The sequence below is a fragment of the Homo sapiens genome, chromosome 6, assembly GCF_000001405.40.
Source record: "Homo sapiens chromosome 6, GRCh38.p14 Primary Assembly".
Taxonomy (NCBI): Eukaryota; Metazoa; Chordata; class Mammalia; order Primates; family Hominidae; genus Homo; species Homo sapiens.
Genome location: NC_000006.12, coordinates 21,585,365 through 21,599,830, shown reverse-complemented (window position 1 = coordinate 21,599,830; position 14,466 = coordinate 21,585,365). Strand labels below are relative to the sequence as shown.

Below are 14,466 nucleotides of genomic sequence, written 5' to 3'. Positions count from 1 at the left end.
AATTCCAATTGCAGAACGCAAATGCAATTAAAACTAAATATATGAGCACCACACATGAAAAAAATGTTGAAAACTAGTAGCTATCTTTAAGAGATAAATTATATTGAAACACAAGTTATACTGGTTTTTGGGGGTGCATTATTGCTTTTCGTTGGACAACCACAAAACCCCCTCCTGTTAGACTAGTCTTCAAAAGGTCTCTTTTTCCAGATGTACCTTCCAGGATACTACTCCCTTATCTACAAGCAATCCAAATGACTAAGGGATAATTTCCAAACACTTCTGCTTGTTAACCCCTCCTCTCCAGTGCTGAAAAACTCAAGACAAGTAAAAGACACATTTTTAATTAACATTTGGAAGATGGCTTTTGTTAGTTAATAGCAATTGTTAACTCTCAAAATAAACAGGAAATAGTGCCACTTAGCAAGTTGTATGTTCCAAACCCAAGAGTAATGGGCCTTAAGAAATCCAAGTACTTTTTCACCTTGCAGTCTCAACAATCCTTCCTGATTCTTAGAAAAAGCACAAATCTCCAGCAGCCAAAGTAAGTGCTATTTGGAGAGGGGGCTTTCCTCTGAGCCCACATGCAGCCAGCTTCTCCAGGTCATCCTTATTGCTGCAGTTCTCTTACATTAACACCATGTTGGGCATGGCAAAAAATGAAGATTGTAGCACATCAACCTTTCTGCTTGAGAAAAAAAATGCATAAATGCATACGTTTTGCATTTCATAATCGGTAAAAGCCTCCTCCTGTATAATCTACTGATAATAACAGTTTATTTGTCCTTAACCCACGAAAACCAATTACAGCCACTGCTGGAGGTAAGCATGGGCAAATCAAGGAGAAAGCAGCTCCAGGAGCACCAACTTGAAAAAAAGATCATCTAGCCAGTTTCATCTGTGAAGAATTCTGTCCACGTTGCCCCTCCCCCTCTTTCAGATTCCAAGACAAAGGGCGTTTTTAAATATGGTAAACTCAGAAAATTCCTAGAAAGCATGTGTTGAGTTGACACATATTCAGCTGATGCCATCATTTTCAGGGTCAGAGGAAATCTGGCCAAGAGACATTTAATGTTCCTCGATAAGGTAGCATTTGACAAGACTCCTCTGAGAACTTATTTTTTTAAAGCTAAGGCAGATTGTGTAGTGTCCAGATACTGTAGGGCCTTTCCAATCTTAGGCATTGGGCATAATAACGACAAAAGTCAAGATTTAGGGTTCAGTTCCAGCTGATTTTATTTCCTTCTCAAAAAAAGTTATTTACAGAAGGTATATATCAACAATCTGACAGGCAGTGAACTTGACATGATTAGCTGGCATGATTTTTTCTTTTTTTTCCCCCAAACATTGTTTTTGTGGCCTTGAATTTTAAGACAAATATTCTACACGGCATATTGCACAGGATGGATGGCAAAAAAAAGTTTAAAAACAAAAACCCTTAACGGAACTGCCTTAAAAAGGCAGACGTCCTAGTGCCTGTCATGTTATATTAAACATACATACACACAATCTTTTTGCTTATTATAATACAGACTTAAATGTACAAAGATGTTTTCCACTTTTTTCAATTTTTAAACACAACAGCTATAAACCTGAACACATATGCTATCATCATGCCATAAGACTAAAACAATTATATTTAGCGACAAGTAGAAAGGATTAAATAGTCAAATACAAGAATGAAAAACGCAGTACATAGTGTCGCGAACTCAAATCGGCATTTAGATAGATCCAGTGGTTTAAACGGCACGTTTTTGCTTATAAAAAAAGTGCAAAAAAGATGTGGTTTACAAGTTAAAGCTACAGAATCCCTTTTTGCTGTAATTGCACCAGTTTTAAAGCCTCTGGACAGAGCAGTATTTCGTTTAAAACTTTGTTTTTCTTAAAAGCTTACAGTGTTTGGCTAATTCTCCTCCCCTTTTTACAAGACGGGGGCCGGAGGGTGGACACTGGTGGCAGGTTAAGGGATACTGTCACTTTAAGAAGCCTGCAGATTGAAGTGTAAACATGGAGAAATTAGGGGCTGATTTTTTAAACTGTGTGAGATATTAACCAGCCGCCCTGTTATAAAATCAGGAAATCCAAACAGCGATTTACACCGATTAACACCCCCTTTATATATTTTTTACAAAAATACACTGAGAAAATAATCAAACGTTTTCATCTCTCTTGTCTTTTTTTGTTTTTTAAAAGTGTCAAAAGTCTACATTTAAATATAAAAAATTAAAAGTTAAAACTCTAGCCCTTCAGTGAAGGAGACGTAAAATGGCGTGGGTAACAACAACTACCAAAAAAAAAAAAAAAAAAAGAAAAAAAAAAGAAAAAAAGGAAAAGGAAGGAATAAAGAAATAAAGGAAGTAAAAAGAAAGGAAAGAAAAAAAGGGACAAAAGAAAAAATATGTTTGGCCAGTATAAATACGTCCACATATAAAATGGCATCTGATTACATTTACAAGGAAAAAGAAATACGAGGATGGAGCATCGGTGAAGGAAAAAAACACGTCTTCTCATTTACACCTATAAGGAATAAACACACACACTGAGAAAAAATTTGGTCCTGAATTGTTTTTTTAAAGTCCAGCACAGATTTGAGTTGCGTTTGAATCCTTTAAAGAGTTAAGAATGAAAAAAAGCTGGTGATAATTTCGTTGTAGGAATCAAACATAGCGCCATCTATCTGCTTTTTATATTATCCTACACTATTTTAAAAACTGCTCAACAGTCTTATACAGAAATCTTTAAAAGATAGACAGGATAACATGCTATATTAACCCCACCATTGAAATAATCCAACACCATCACGATTCCGATTAAGAGAAGAAAAAAATCTTTTTTTTTTCTTTTTTTTTCTTTTTTTCTTTTTTTTTTTCCGAAACCACTCGCCCTCCACTGACTGCCCCTGTACCACATCAAACAGTCTCCTCTCCTCCACGCCTCCGGGGTCTGGGAAGTCTCACCTCACTGATTTCACGTAGAAAAGAAGGCGGAGGCCCAGCAGCCGCCGCCGCCAGCTCCCCAACGTGCAAATCCATTTCAGTTTGACCGTGAACCCCCTTCCAGTTCGTGTCCTCCTCCGCCCCCGCCCCTAGCTCCCGCTGCTGCGCTTCCAACGGGGTTCTCGGGTCATTTCCTAGCGCCGGTCACACTGGCTGGCCTCCTCCCCTCAACATCTCCTCCTCCGGCTGCAGAGGGGGCAAGGGGAAAAGAGGGAGGAAAAAAAAGCCCCAAACGGGAATTCGCCTGCGTGGAGTCTCTCAGTCCCGGCGTTCCCCCAAAACATCTGCCATCGGCCAAATTCGTCACCCCGGAGCCTTCTGTCTTCATCACGCGTTTAAAAAAAGGGGGGGAGGGGTGCGCTGGGTTCTCCCCTCCTTTCTTGACCAAGAAGCAAAATAAAACAAAACCAAGGTGGTGATGCAGGAAGGGGGAGACTCCTTCAAGTCTCTAGAAAACTAACTCGCCTTCTTGCTGGGGGTGCAGACAAGTCCGGAAGCTCGTTGGAAGGGGGAGGGGGTCTCTTCAAGCAAAGGGGAGCAAACTCGAAGTCGCTTTTTTTTTTTTGCCATCAACAACAACATCAATAACAACAATCACAGGTCGCCCCTGTCTACCCTCTTCCTCCTCCGCGTCCCTCCGGCTGGGCAGAGTGGGTCCCCGGCCCGGGAAGGTGGGGGATGGGAGCGCGGGTCCAAAACGCCGCCGCGCTCCTTGATCCGACGACGAGAACGCGGGCGAAGCCAGCCCTGCTTACTTTTTCTTTCTTTTTTCCCTTTTCTCTTTAAACTCTTCGTCTGTCCTTTTCGTTTCTTTTTTTCACTTTTTTTTTCTCCTCTCCTACCCCCCCCGGCCCTTCTCCCTGCCTGCGCGCCCTTCAGTAGGTGAAAACCAGGTTGGAGATGCTGGACTCGAGCCAGTCTCCCGAGATCATCTCGCTCACCTCGGGCGTGCAGTAGTCCGGGAACTCGAAGTGCGAGCCGGAGCCGGGCTCGAAGTTAAAATCCAGGTCCCGGTCGAGCGCCGACGACGAACTGAAGCTGCCCAGGGACATGCTCTCAAAGTTTGAGCTGGGGTTCAGGTCGAGCAGGTCGTCTTCGAACTCGTCGTCGGAGGACGAGGAGCCCGAGGAGGAGGAAGAGGAGGAGTGGGACGAGGCCGAGGAGGACGCGTGCGAGGGCGCGCTGGACGGGGCGGGCGAGGCGGCGCGCAGGCTGGCGTAGCCGCGGTGGTCGGCGGGCGAGCGGCCGGCGGCGGGGGACGAGGCGGCGCTGCTGCGGCCGCTCAGGCTGGGCGCGTCGGGCGAGCAGCCCGCGCCCTCCTCCTCGTACAGGCCCAGGGGGTCGCTGGGGTCGGCTCCCGCGCCCACGCCGCCCACGGGCGACGACGACGTGCCCAGGCCGCCGAACAGGTAGACGCGCTTCACCTTCTTCTCCGCCAGGTGCTTGCCCGGGGCCGCGAGCGCTGCGGAGGCCGAGGCTGCCGAGGAGGCGGAGGCCGAGGCGCTGGGAGTCCGCGCCTTGTACAGCGAGTGGTGGTCGGCGGCGGCGCCCAGGGGCAGCAGGGCGGCGGCCCCCGCCTGTTCGGCGGCGAAGGAGGCGGCGGCGGCAGCCGCTGCTTTCCCGCCGCCGCCGCCGCCTGCCAGGATGAGCTTGGCGTGCGGTTTGCTAACCCCACCGCCCGCGCCGCCCGCCACTTTGGAGCCGCAGCTCTTTTTCTGCGCCGGTTTGGAGTTGGCGCCGCCGCCACTCGCACCGCCGCCTCCTCCCCCCGCGTTGCTGCTCCCGCCGCCGCCGCCGCCCCCATGGCCGCCCCCGCCACTGCCACCGACCTTGTCTCCCTTCTCCCCCGGCTTGGAGGAGGCGGCGGCCGAGGAGCTGGAGTTGGCGTTGCCGGACTTCACCTTCTTCCTGGGCCGGTACTTGTAGTCGGGGTAGTCAGCCATGTGCTTGAGGCGCAGCCGCTCCGCCTCTCGAATGAAAGGGATCTTGTCGCTGTCTTTGAGCAGCTTCCAGCGTTTGCCCAGCCGCTTGGAGATCTCGGCGTTGTGCATGTCGGGCGACTGCTCCATGATCTTGCGCCGCTCGATCTGCGACCACACCATGAAGGCGTTCATGGGTCGCTTGATGTGCCCACTCGGGGTCTTGCACCAGCTCGGGTCGTCGGCCTTGCCGCCCGTGGAGGCGGTGGAGCCGGGCGTGGGGGAGGAGGCGATTCCCAGCTCGAGGCCGGCGCCCGAGTCCGAGCTCTCGCCGGCCAGCAGCGCTTCCGTGTTCTCGGCATTGTTGGTTTGCTGCACCATGGCCTCGGCTCGGCGGGCGCCCACGCGCGCTCACACCCTCGCGGCGGCCGCCGCGCGATCGCCGGGCCCTCCCGGTTCCCCGGGCCAAGCACACGCCGAACGGGAAGACGCGCGCGGCGGCCGAACTGGCCCCTCAACTCCTCGCAGGGGCGGAGGTGGGTAAAGAGAGAAAAGTCCCCAAAAGATTTGGGGAAGGAGTTCTCCGCCTCTCGCAGAGGAGTTATAGTTCCCAGGCTGGAGAGTCTCTCTCTCCCTCTCTCTCGCTCTCTCACCGCGCTGCAGTTTGCTGTCTCTCGGCTGAGTCTGGAGACCGTGCTAAAGTAGAGAGGAGTTTCTCGAATGCTGGTTGCTGAAGCTTCCAATGCAAGTTTCTCGCGGCCTCCCAGGCAAGTCTTTTTTTTTTTTTTTTCTTTTTCCCTGAAGCAGTTGATTCCAGTTCACGAGCGCTCTCGGTAGCTCAGGAAAGCGACATAGTCTCTAGCACTTAGTCCCTCTCCTACAATGCAAAGCAAAAAAGACTGTGGCTCCAGGACTCTCTGTGGGCGGAATCGGCACTAAGGAGTTGGTGCAATTATTTTGTTGCAAGGTAGGAAGCCAAAAAGCCTGCATGCAACAGACTGGCATGAATAAATGTATGTTTCCCCCTCCCTTCTGCAAGAAGGGAGCTGGTAATGGCAGGAGTTCCTCCAGTGCAGACTCTTAAAGAGCGTGCAAGAACTAGAGACCCGACAGCGAAACAGGCCTCTTCCCCTCACACACAGTTTCTCTTGCTGCAGCTTAGAGCAGACCCCAATTCCGCCTCGCGCCTCTTTATCCTTTCACAGTCTTGGCTGCAGCCAATCAGCTGCTGTAACCAACGCTTCCTCATGCCAAACCCCTCCCCCGGGCTTCCCATTGGCTTGGAACCCGATGCAATAATAATCTCCGCGTGCAATGAGAAGCTCCAAATCTGACCTCATTCCAATTTACAGAGCAAACTTTTTAAAAGGGCTAGAAGTACAGCTGAGATTTCTGCTGCCTCTTTTTTCCTTTTGCTGTGTGTGTGCGCGCGCGTGTGTGTGCGCGCGTGCGTGTGTGTATAGTGTGTGAAGAGGATGTTAATGCATGAAATTATTAAGGGGAGAGACGGAAATGTATTCTAACCATTATGTTAGATAACAAGGGGCTTGGAACGGGGCGGGGTAAGGGTGAAATACTGTAAATGGAAGCTTTCTGCTTAAAAGCCAAGTGATTATTTTTATTAGTTCTTTTCAGCATTGGAATAAAGAATCAGCCTCTGGTGCAAAATCTGTTCCCCAGCTCTTTCTTAAAGCCAAAGCTGTAAAGGGGAAGAGAAAGCCACAAAACAATAAATCAATGGATATTGAAAACCATTAAGAAAGTGGTACCTAGACACCTGTCATCACAATTATTTTAACAACTCTAGGTACAGCACAGATGTTGATGTATTGTGTAAATCCCTTCAGAACCGTTTTTGTGCTGTTTGTGGAAGGCAGGGAAGAGGACTTTGCAATAATTGCTTACTCTCTTAACCAAGCAAGGGTCAACTATGGTTATTTAATGATTTAAACTCCCTGTAAATCCTGCATAGCCCAAACAGGGGAGCTTTCCCTTGAAACACATTAGGTAGTGCTCCGTAATTACCTCAATAGGCAGATTTCCAGAGTTTTGTATAGGATGTATAATGGCATGTAAAGGATGGAAATCGGTTTTACTTTCTAAATATTTGTTTTCCCTGTTTTCAAAATTAAAGATTGCTTCACTCTCTTCCCTCTCCTCCTCCCAAAGCCATCTTCCTCCTTTCCTTCTTATATATTTCCTCTTGTTACTTGAATCGAAGGGAACTGAAAAACCAAGGCAAAGAGAAACTGTAGAAGGAGGTGATAACTGGTAGCAGAAGAGAATGGGGCCTCCGGATTCATAGTAGACCTGGCTGCTAATCCTTCTTAATGGTTTGTAACTATGGGGATGTGGCCAAGTCTCAGTTTTCCTCATCTATTATATGGGAACACTAGGAGCTACTTTATAGAGGGTTGTTGTGAGGGTTCAATGAATTTGTGACTATGAAGCACCTGATGTATTGTAAGCCCTCAATGAATACTAATATCTTCCTTTCTAATTCAAATGCCAGACACACTCCTAGTAAAAGCTGCATGTTGTTCAAGAGGCTAAAACAGAATAGCCACTTATGTAAAAAAGTAATAACAGGCAGGACGCGGTGGCTCACGCCTGTAATCCCAGCACTTTGGGAGGCTAAGGTGGGTGGATCACTTCAGGTCAGGAGTTCGAGACCAGCCTGGTCAACATGGTGAAACCCTGTCTCTACTAAAAATTAAAAAATTAAAAAATTAGCTGGGCAGGGATGCATGCGCCTGTAATTCCAGCTACTCGAGAAGCTAAGGCGGGAGAATTGCTTGAACCCAGGAGGTTGCAGTGAGCTAAGATTGAGCCACTGCACTCCAGTGTGGGTGATAGCGTGTGACTATCTCAAAAAAAAAAAAAAAGTAATCACAGATCATTGATGTGAACCATAGAAGGACAATAGTGGCAACCCTGCCATTCCATTGATTTTAAAAGAAAGGAACTCCATGAAGAATACTAAGAAGAATGTGGCAAAGAAAGGATGCCAAGGTATTCAAAATAAACGTTGGCTACAGAAATTACTTGTTTTCCAGTGTCTGAAAATTAGAATTGTAGTAAAAATCAGCTTTCCTTAACACTATAATAGGAAACTAATATTCTTCAGGCTAACCATAAGTGGTTAGGTAAAGTCAATCCAAAATAATTAAGTCGGCTTTTGATTCAGATTAAACTAGTGCTGGGTAGTAAATTTCTATGTATCTTGTCAAACTTTTAAAGTATGTAGGCTGGCAATAGGCCCAGGTTGTCAGACTTAGAATTTTACTGGAAAGAACACCCTATGTAGCCATCTGACTGGATCTGTAAGGATCAACCACAAGCAAAACTGTTTTTGTGGGTAAAAGCAAATAATTTTTGACGATTAGCTACTTGTATTACATAATTTTTTTAAAAAAGGAGAAACAAATCCTTAAAAAAAGAAAAACCCAAACCAAAAACACACAGGCACCTTTTTTGCATAACAGTGTTGCTGTGTTATATACTACATTTTCTCTGGTGTGCATAGAAACACATCCTTAAATGTTACCAATCTGACAAAAAAAAATTATTTTAAGAGGGCTATTATCTATAAGATCAATATTTTCACTAGAATAAAAAAGAATATTTATTTTTGAATTTGTACTAACTAATGATTTGAGGGTGTAGCTAGTTTGATAATTCAGTCAAGTTGAGTATCAACATTATTGATTATATTTCTCAGTCATTTATGCTTCCATCATCGAATATGATAGGGAAGAGTGGAAGTTAAAGCAGTCATATATGTTTCTGCTTAAAACACATGGATTTTTTAAAGGGTGTACTAAAACACAGCCACTGGCCTCATTCTTTTGTTACATGTATTTTCTGTATTTCAACAAATCCAACAAATTTTAAGACACACCATTATATTACATTCCACCAAGGAAGAAAGCTGCCAATGAAACTGTGATATCCCCCTAGATGTAGGATGCCTCCTTATTTCAGGAAGAGTTGAAATGAAAAGAAAAATTTCCTCTTAGACTTGATGAAATATGGTATCAGTAACTTCCATTGACTTTATAATTACTGCATATATATTTATATATTACACAAGTGCCTAGACTTCTGAAATAGATCTGTTCTAATGGGTTAGTTCTCTTAGAATGTAAGAAAACATATGACGAATGCCCTTTTATTAAAGTCATCTTTGTGACCAACTAAGTGTGTGCACACTGGAATGTGTTGGACCTCTCAATACCAAATAATGAGAAAAGATTTCTCCCTTCTCATTCCCTAACTTCATATGCTCTGTAATCAGTTCTCCATTACTGACATTTTTTTCCCCAAATACCAGATATTTGGTGGCCCCTACTAAATCAGTACGCAGTGTTCCCTCTGCTGGCTTTGCAGTACATGAAGTAATTCTTAATGCTAGTCTTTTAGCTGTATTAAGAGAAAGCCAAGATAATTTTGCAGAAAAAAAAAATCCTGGTTTAGAATAATAAACTGTCTTTGTTAGCAATGATGTTAGACATTTCCAATTTTGAATTAGGTATTTTATTTTATTCCCTTAAATGATGGAATTCCATTTGAGATGTAAGTGTAATATCTGCTAATGCATTTCTTCTGCTCTCACACATCTACACAACATAAAATCTCACATCCATACAATGGTATGGGGCATAGATGAAATAAGATTCTATTCCACTGCTTAATATATTCCTTTGGCATGGAGGGAGGGACCTGAATGGAAATTAGTTTAACAAATCTGGATTTGCACTGATTTGCAAGATTTTGCCTTGCCTTGGTTATAGAAACTATGATTGTAGGCGCTAGTCAGACCTGACAAGTATTCAGTTCAAATAAAATAAAGAGGAGGAAAAACTGTGTAGTTGTTACTTTACCTGACAAGGAAGAAGCCCTGGGAAATCTGATGTCATTGGCCTTTGTCAACTGAAAGGCGCCAGTTTTTTTGGTTCCACACTTTATGGAAAAGAAGCCTCCATGTGAGGCTGATTTACTTCTCAGTCAAGTAGACAAACATAACTTGCACTTCATCCTTTTGGGCTGATGACATTGCATTGTAACTGGGCTCAGCGCGTAATGGGGGTGGGGGTGCGTGCATTGAAAAATAATATATGGAAATAACTCATATTTGCAAAATATCAAAATAGGATTCTGGGGTAAATGAAACCTAGCATTTATTTTTATCACTAGAATAAGCTAAGAGTTAAGAAACCTGCATTTCTAACAATTGTACCATTTTCCTCTCATAACCAGTGACTAGCACACAGTAGGCTTAAGCTGTTCATGCCAATGCCAACTCATTATTCCTTTCCTTCGATTTTCTCAAGAAAACAAGCAGAAGACGAATGTTTGCAGGGCCACTTGGATTGCAAGCATGAATACAGGCTTCTGCTTCTATTCTAGAGGCAGAGGCACGGCACCCGGGGAGAGCCTGGGTTTGTCTGCAGCCAGCCGGCTCCCAATCTGGGGAGAAGCAGCCGCCAGGTGGCATCGCTGAGCCTCCCTGCGCCCGCGAGGCGAGGTAGGAAATCGTGGGGATAGTCAGTCTTCTTTCTTCTCCCCCTTCCTCCTCTCCCGACCCCCCTACCACTCCCTACCACTGTACCTTCTTTAGTTAGAGGCTTAAACGCTCAACGAGTAACAGGGTATGTCGATGAATTCTGATTTTTTTTCATAAATCAAAGTTTAGGGCAACCACCCGCCGCCTCCTGCTCACTTGTCAGGAGCTCCGGGTGACGGGGGAAGCCTAGACCAGCTTCCTGTCTGGATCAGGTAACCCAACTCGGGGGATTATCAATTTCAGTTTCCCTGTCTTCTTGCTAAAGTGAATGCAGTTTCTCCGGCTTCCGAGAGCGGCTGCAGAGAAACGACGCGCCTTACTTAAGGACTCCAGTGCAAAGGCCACTCCCTACTCAAAAAAAAAAAAAAAAAAAAAAAAAAAAAAAGAGGTTTCCTTCAGGCAGAACGCCTTCCGGAGCGCAGCGACTCGGTCTCGCAGGCACGGCGCTCTCCCTGGCTTAAGCTCGCCAAGGATTAATGGTGCTCAGCCTCGCTCCGCCGCGGCAGCCGAACCTCTCCTTTCGCTTACAGTTACAGGGAGGAAATAAATTGGAATCGACTCAGACTGTGCTTTCTGGAGGAAAGTCCTTCCTACTGTAAACATGTTTCAGGCGATCCTGTCAGCAGCATTTTAACACCCGTCTTCCGTTTAGGTTTTACGACCGGGGAAGGAGCTGAAGACACGCGCGCGCACACACACACAAACGCGGGCGCAGACGCAGCCCAAGCGAGGACACCTCCCGCACCCTCGCGGGCTCCCAGCCCTCCTTTGAATTTGCAACCGGTCGCGGATAGGTTGGGGGGGTCGTTTCCCAGGAGCTTGGCTCCTCCGTCCTCCTACCCCATCCCCTGGCCCTTGGAGATGCTGTCCAGTTCCGTCACTGACCAGAACTGACAGCCACTTGGCCCCCTGCTCTCTTGAGTGCCCAGCATCCTTTGCTCTGGACGACTAAATGCTCTCTGTGAGCCTTGCTTGGTTGGTACGGCGCGCGCTGTGCGTGTGGGACCCACTCTTCGGCAGGCACACGACCTTCGTACACCGGCTGGGCAACCACCCACTTCATCCCCTCCCCGGACCCCGCAGGCTGAGGCCCCATTGAGAGCGCAGCTGCAGCGTCTCTTTCAGAAGGGCAGAGCAGGCTGCGCGTGCACGGCGCGCGGGGGGAGGAAAAGGGCTGAGAGCTGAGGGAAGTCGACAATTCATTGCACCCCAGTCTTCAAGCGTCCCTTCTGCGCGGATCACGGAGGGACAGACGTGCATTGGCGCCTTCCCTCGATCCCTCGCTCGTGCAGGAAAGACTGGACGGTGGGGGCTCTCTGAGTTTGCGAGGGCCACGGAGGCGCCCCAGGGTGCCAGGCGCCCTTGTCAAGGGCCGCGCCCGAAGCTCCAGATTCAGTCCCCAGCACCTGTAGGAGGCGGTTTCGGGTCTGAGAGAAGGGAACATATGGCAGGTAGTTAACAGGGAGAGGCTGCGCCCTGGGCGCAGTTACGAGGAAGCCAAGCTCTGCGGAAGGTCTCGGCTCGCTTTGTCCTCCTTGGATCAGCTGGTCTCTGCCTTTCCGCTGGCAGCCGCGGCAGTCAGGCCCTGGCGCAAGCGTCCGGGTGGAGCTGCCTACTCGACCCGGGGTGGCAGGGGTTGAGGGGGCGGCAAAACCACCCCAGTGGCCCCAGCAGGCGGTCTAGGTGGGGCACGCCCGACGGGCTTCCCACCCCCAACGCAACAGCCCGTTGTTGCAATTACAGTTTTAGCCCCGTGGGGGAAAGCGGGTGATTTCGCTTTTGGAAAAACACTTCAAGAGCAACCCTAAGCCAGCGTTACAAGCCAGTTGACCTGCTATTGGAGGTTGTGCGAGGGCGGGCTGGGGCGCGCGCGTCTGCCAGGGAGGGAATCCCGCTGGGGAGTGGGCAGAGGGAAGCAGAGCAAAATGTCAGATAACAGAAAGAGGGGAGGCGGAGGAAGAAAGGCGCTTGATTGCGGGGAAGTGGGAAGGCACGGAGACCGCATTGGCTGCTAAGTGACGCGGGTCAGGAGGAGAGGGACGCGTGCGTGGCGGGTAGCGACTGTAGGACGCACGGGCCCCCTCGCCAGGCAACCGATCTCCTTTCTTCCAGCCCTTCCCCTCCCATGTTCCCGCCGTAGTCAGACGTCACACTTGGCGCAGACAGCTTTGGGGGAACTCATAGGGATGGGAGGGGTGGGGCAGGGACCGTAGAACCCAGTGCCCCAGACCGCGCCTGGAGTGCAGTACACCTGGCACCCGGGACTCGCCATCTGCTCCCAGCTACCGCCTCTCGGGCCAGGGGTGTGGGCCTGGAGAAAGATAAGAGTACCGCGTGGGAGTGGATGGCCTGGCGTCAACCGCCTCAATGAACTCAGTCAATCAACGTTTATGGTGCTCCTACTGTGTGCCGAGCGCATCCTCGGTCCCCTCCAGCTGCTGGGCTGGGAAACTGCACCATCTGTTCAGTTAAGCAGCAAGCTAGAAAAGAATTCTGTGTATATGGTTGTAAAATAAGTTCAAAATTCTGACAATAATGCATATGCAAATTTGCCATGAAAGGAGGGTGATAGAGATAGTTTGGGGATCTGGAAAAGTGTTGGGTCTAGCAGTACAGAGGTTTTGTGATTTTTCACTGCTTCCTGAAGCATGAAACTCCATCCTTCCTGTCCCACATTCCAAGTTAAAAAAATAATTTAGTGACACTTTATCTGGCTATCACGATTCAAAAATAACTGAAGGCTAGTACTTAAAACACTCAAACTTAACTCATTAATTTCAAAAATATCAGACCCAAACCGCTGCCTTATTGTAACAAATATTTTGTAATATAACTTTACTCTCCTGAAATAAAATCTGTGGATTACGTAACTTACTATGCACAAAATTAAAAAAGAAACCATAATGTTCAAACTACAATGTTAAAGGAGAAATACACAGTAGGTAATTTATAATAAGATAATATACATTTCAAATATGCATGGTAGGGCTGTATTTCACTAGAACACCCAAAATGTTGTCCAAAAATTTAAAAATTCTCCCTAGGAGTACTACTGCCTAGGTGTGAATTATGCACTATGGGTGGCAGGCAAACGCTAAATAATGAGGATGCTACTTGTATTCTGAGTTCTTAAATTTACAGTGGATGTGGTAGATTCTTGTAATAAATCGTCCTCCTAGTACGTGTGCTTTTATGTGGACCTTTTTCTCTCTGATTCTGGATTTGGTCACTGAGTTGCTTTGGGAAATGGGGCATTAGCAAGCATGAGACAAACAGACTTCACAAGTGCCCATGTACTGGGGTTTGTCCATTGAAACCGTCGTGTTGTGAACCTACTCCAGTGAGACCATGAAAACATCATGTTGTGAACTACCTTCAGCAGCTGATCTTACTCGAGGATTGAAGGCCCCATAGGGAAAACCAAGGTGCCCCTCCAAGGCCAGCATCCCAGGCATGTGACTGAGGCCATCTTGGACTCTCCAGTTTTGGTTGGTTTGTCAGATGACTGCAGCCACAGGAGCGATTCCAGATGGGTACAACAGAAGAATCACTCAGATTGACACCCCACAGAATTATGAGAACTAATAAGTTGCGTTAAATCACTATGCTTTGGGTAGTTTGTTATGCAGTAATAGAGGTCAGAGTTGTATTAATTACAATGCCATTTGATAGATGCCAAAATATAAGTTCATGCAGGAAGGTAACTTTTTCTTAATGACTCTAGATCTTTATTAAAAATTCAGTCAGTATTTTCACCAATGCCCATAGTGTATATGGGAGTTAGCTAAAATTGAATAACCCCATGGAAAAAGACATTCTATGCAAATAGACACCAAAAGCGAGCAGGAGTACCTATTCTTTTTTTTTTTATTTTATTTTTTTTGAGATGGAGTCTCACTCTGTCGTCCAGGCTGGAGTGCAGTGGCATGATCTTGGCTCACTGCAACCTCCACCTCGCGGGTTCAAGCGATTCTCCTGCCTTAGC

At 47.1% G+C, this 14,466-nt stretch overlaps 1 protein-coding gene across 1 annotated transcript, besides 10 other annotated features; it reads right to left on the bottom strand.

The window, feature by feature from the left end:
* SOX4 (SRY-box transcription factor 4) lies at positions 1,212–6,080 on the bottom strand. The gene has a single exon (NM_003107.3). The coding sequence runs from the start codon at positions 5,294–5,296 to the stop codon at positions 3,872–3,874; it is 1,425 nt and encodes a 474-aa protein (NP_003098.1). The 5' UTR covers positions 5,297–6,080; the 3' UTR covers positions 1,212–3,871.
* Positions 3,320–3,519: an enhancer, noted in NCBI's record as "active region_24141". NCBI's record gives its function as "activates an Ori minimal core promoter by ATAC-STARR-seq in GM12878 lymphoblastoid cells {active_cell/tissue: GM12878}" and the evidence as "EXISTENCE:reporter gene assay evidence [ECO:0000049][PMID:35858748]".
* Positions 4,330–4,379: a silencer, noted in NCBI's record as "silent region_16986". NCBI's record gives its function as "represses an Ori minimal core promoter by ATAC-STARR-seq in GM12878 lymphoblastoid cells {active_cell/tissue: GM12878}" and the evidence as "EXISTENCE:reporter gene assay evidence [ECO:0000049][PMID:35858748]".
* Positions 4,430–4,519: a silencer, noted in NCBI's record as "silent region_16985". NCBI's record gives its function as "represses an Ori minimal core promoter by ATAC-STARR-seq in GM12878 lymphoblastoid cells {active_cell/tissue: GM12878}" and the evidence as "EXISTENCE:reporter gene assay evidence [ECO:0000049][PMID:35858748]".
* Positions 5,290–5,469: a silencer, noted in NCBI's record as "silent region_16984". NCBI's record gives its function as "represses an Ori minimal core promoter by ATAC-STARR-seq in GM12878 lymphoblastoid cells {active_cell/tissue: GM12878}" and the evidence as "EXISTENCE:reporter gene assay evidence [ECO:0000049][PMID:35858748]".
* Positions 10,467–10,516: an enhancer, noted in NCBI's record as "active region_24140". NCBI's record gives its function as "activates an Ori minimal core promoter by ATAC-STARR-seq in GM12878 lymphoblastoid cells {active_cell/tissue: GM12878}" and the evidence as "EXISTENCE:reporter gene assay evidence [ECO:0000049][PMID:35858748]".
* Positions 10,527–10,626: an enhancer, noted in NCBI's record as "active region_24139". NCBI's record gives its function as "activates an Ori minimal core promoter by ATAC-STARR-seq in GM12878 lymphoblastoid cells {active_cell/tissue: GM12878}" and the evidence as "EXISTENCE:reporter gene assay evidence [ECO:0000049][PMID:35858748]".
* Positions 11,394–12,051: an enhancer, noted in NCBI's record as "H3K27ac-H3K4me1 hESC enhancer chr6:21588011-21588668 (GRCh37/hg19 assembly coordinates)". NCBI's record gives its function as "activates a minimal SCP1, AML or CMV promoter by ChIP-STARR-seq in primed H9 embryonic stem cells {active_cell/tissue: H9 hESC(primed)}" and the evidence as "EXISTENCE:reporter gene assay evidence [ECO:0000049][PMID:30033119]".
* Positions 12,417–12,496: a silencer, noted in NCBI's record as "silent region_16983". NCBI's record gives its function as "represses an Ori minimal core promoter by ATAC-STARR-seq in GM12878 lymphoblastoid cells {active_cell/tissue: GM12878}" and the evidence as "EXISTENCE:reporter gene assay evidence [ECO:0000049][PMID:35858748]".
* Positions 12,637–12,696: a silencer, noted in NCBI's record as "silent region_16982". NCBI's record gives its function as "represses an Ori minimal core promoter by ATAC-STARR-seq in GM12878 lymphoblastoid cells {active_cell/tissue: GM12878}" and the evidence as "EXISTENCE:reporter gene assay evidence [ECO:0000049][PMID:35858748]".
* Positions 12,692–13,224: an enhancer, noted in NCBI's record as "H3K4me1 hESC enhancer chr6:21586838-21587370 (GRCh37/hg19 assembly coordinates)". NCBI's record gives its function as "activates a minimal SCP1, AML or CMV promoter by ChIP-STARR-seq in naive H9 embryonic stem cells {active_cell/tissue: H9 hESC(naive)}" and the evidence as "EXISTENCE:reporter gene assay evidence [ECO:0000049][PMID:30033119]".

Excerpts from the sequence above, each read along its gene's own strand:
- SOX4 (NM_003107.3), bottom strand. The coding sequence starts at position 5,296 with ATGGTGCAGCAAACCAACAATGCCGAGAACACGGAAGCGCTGCTGGCC.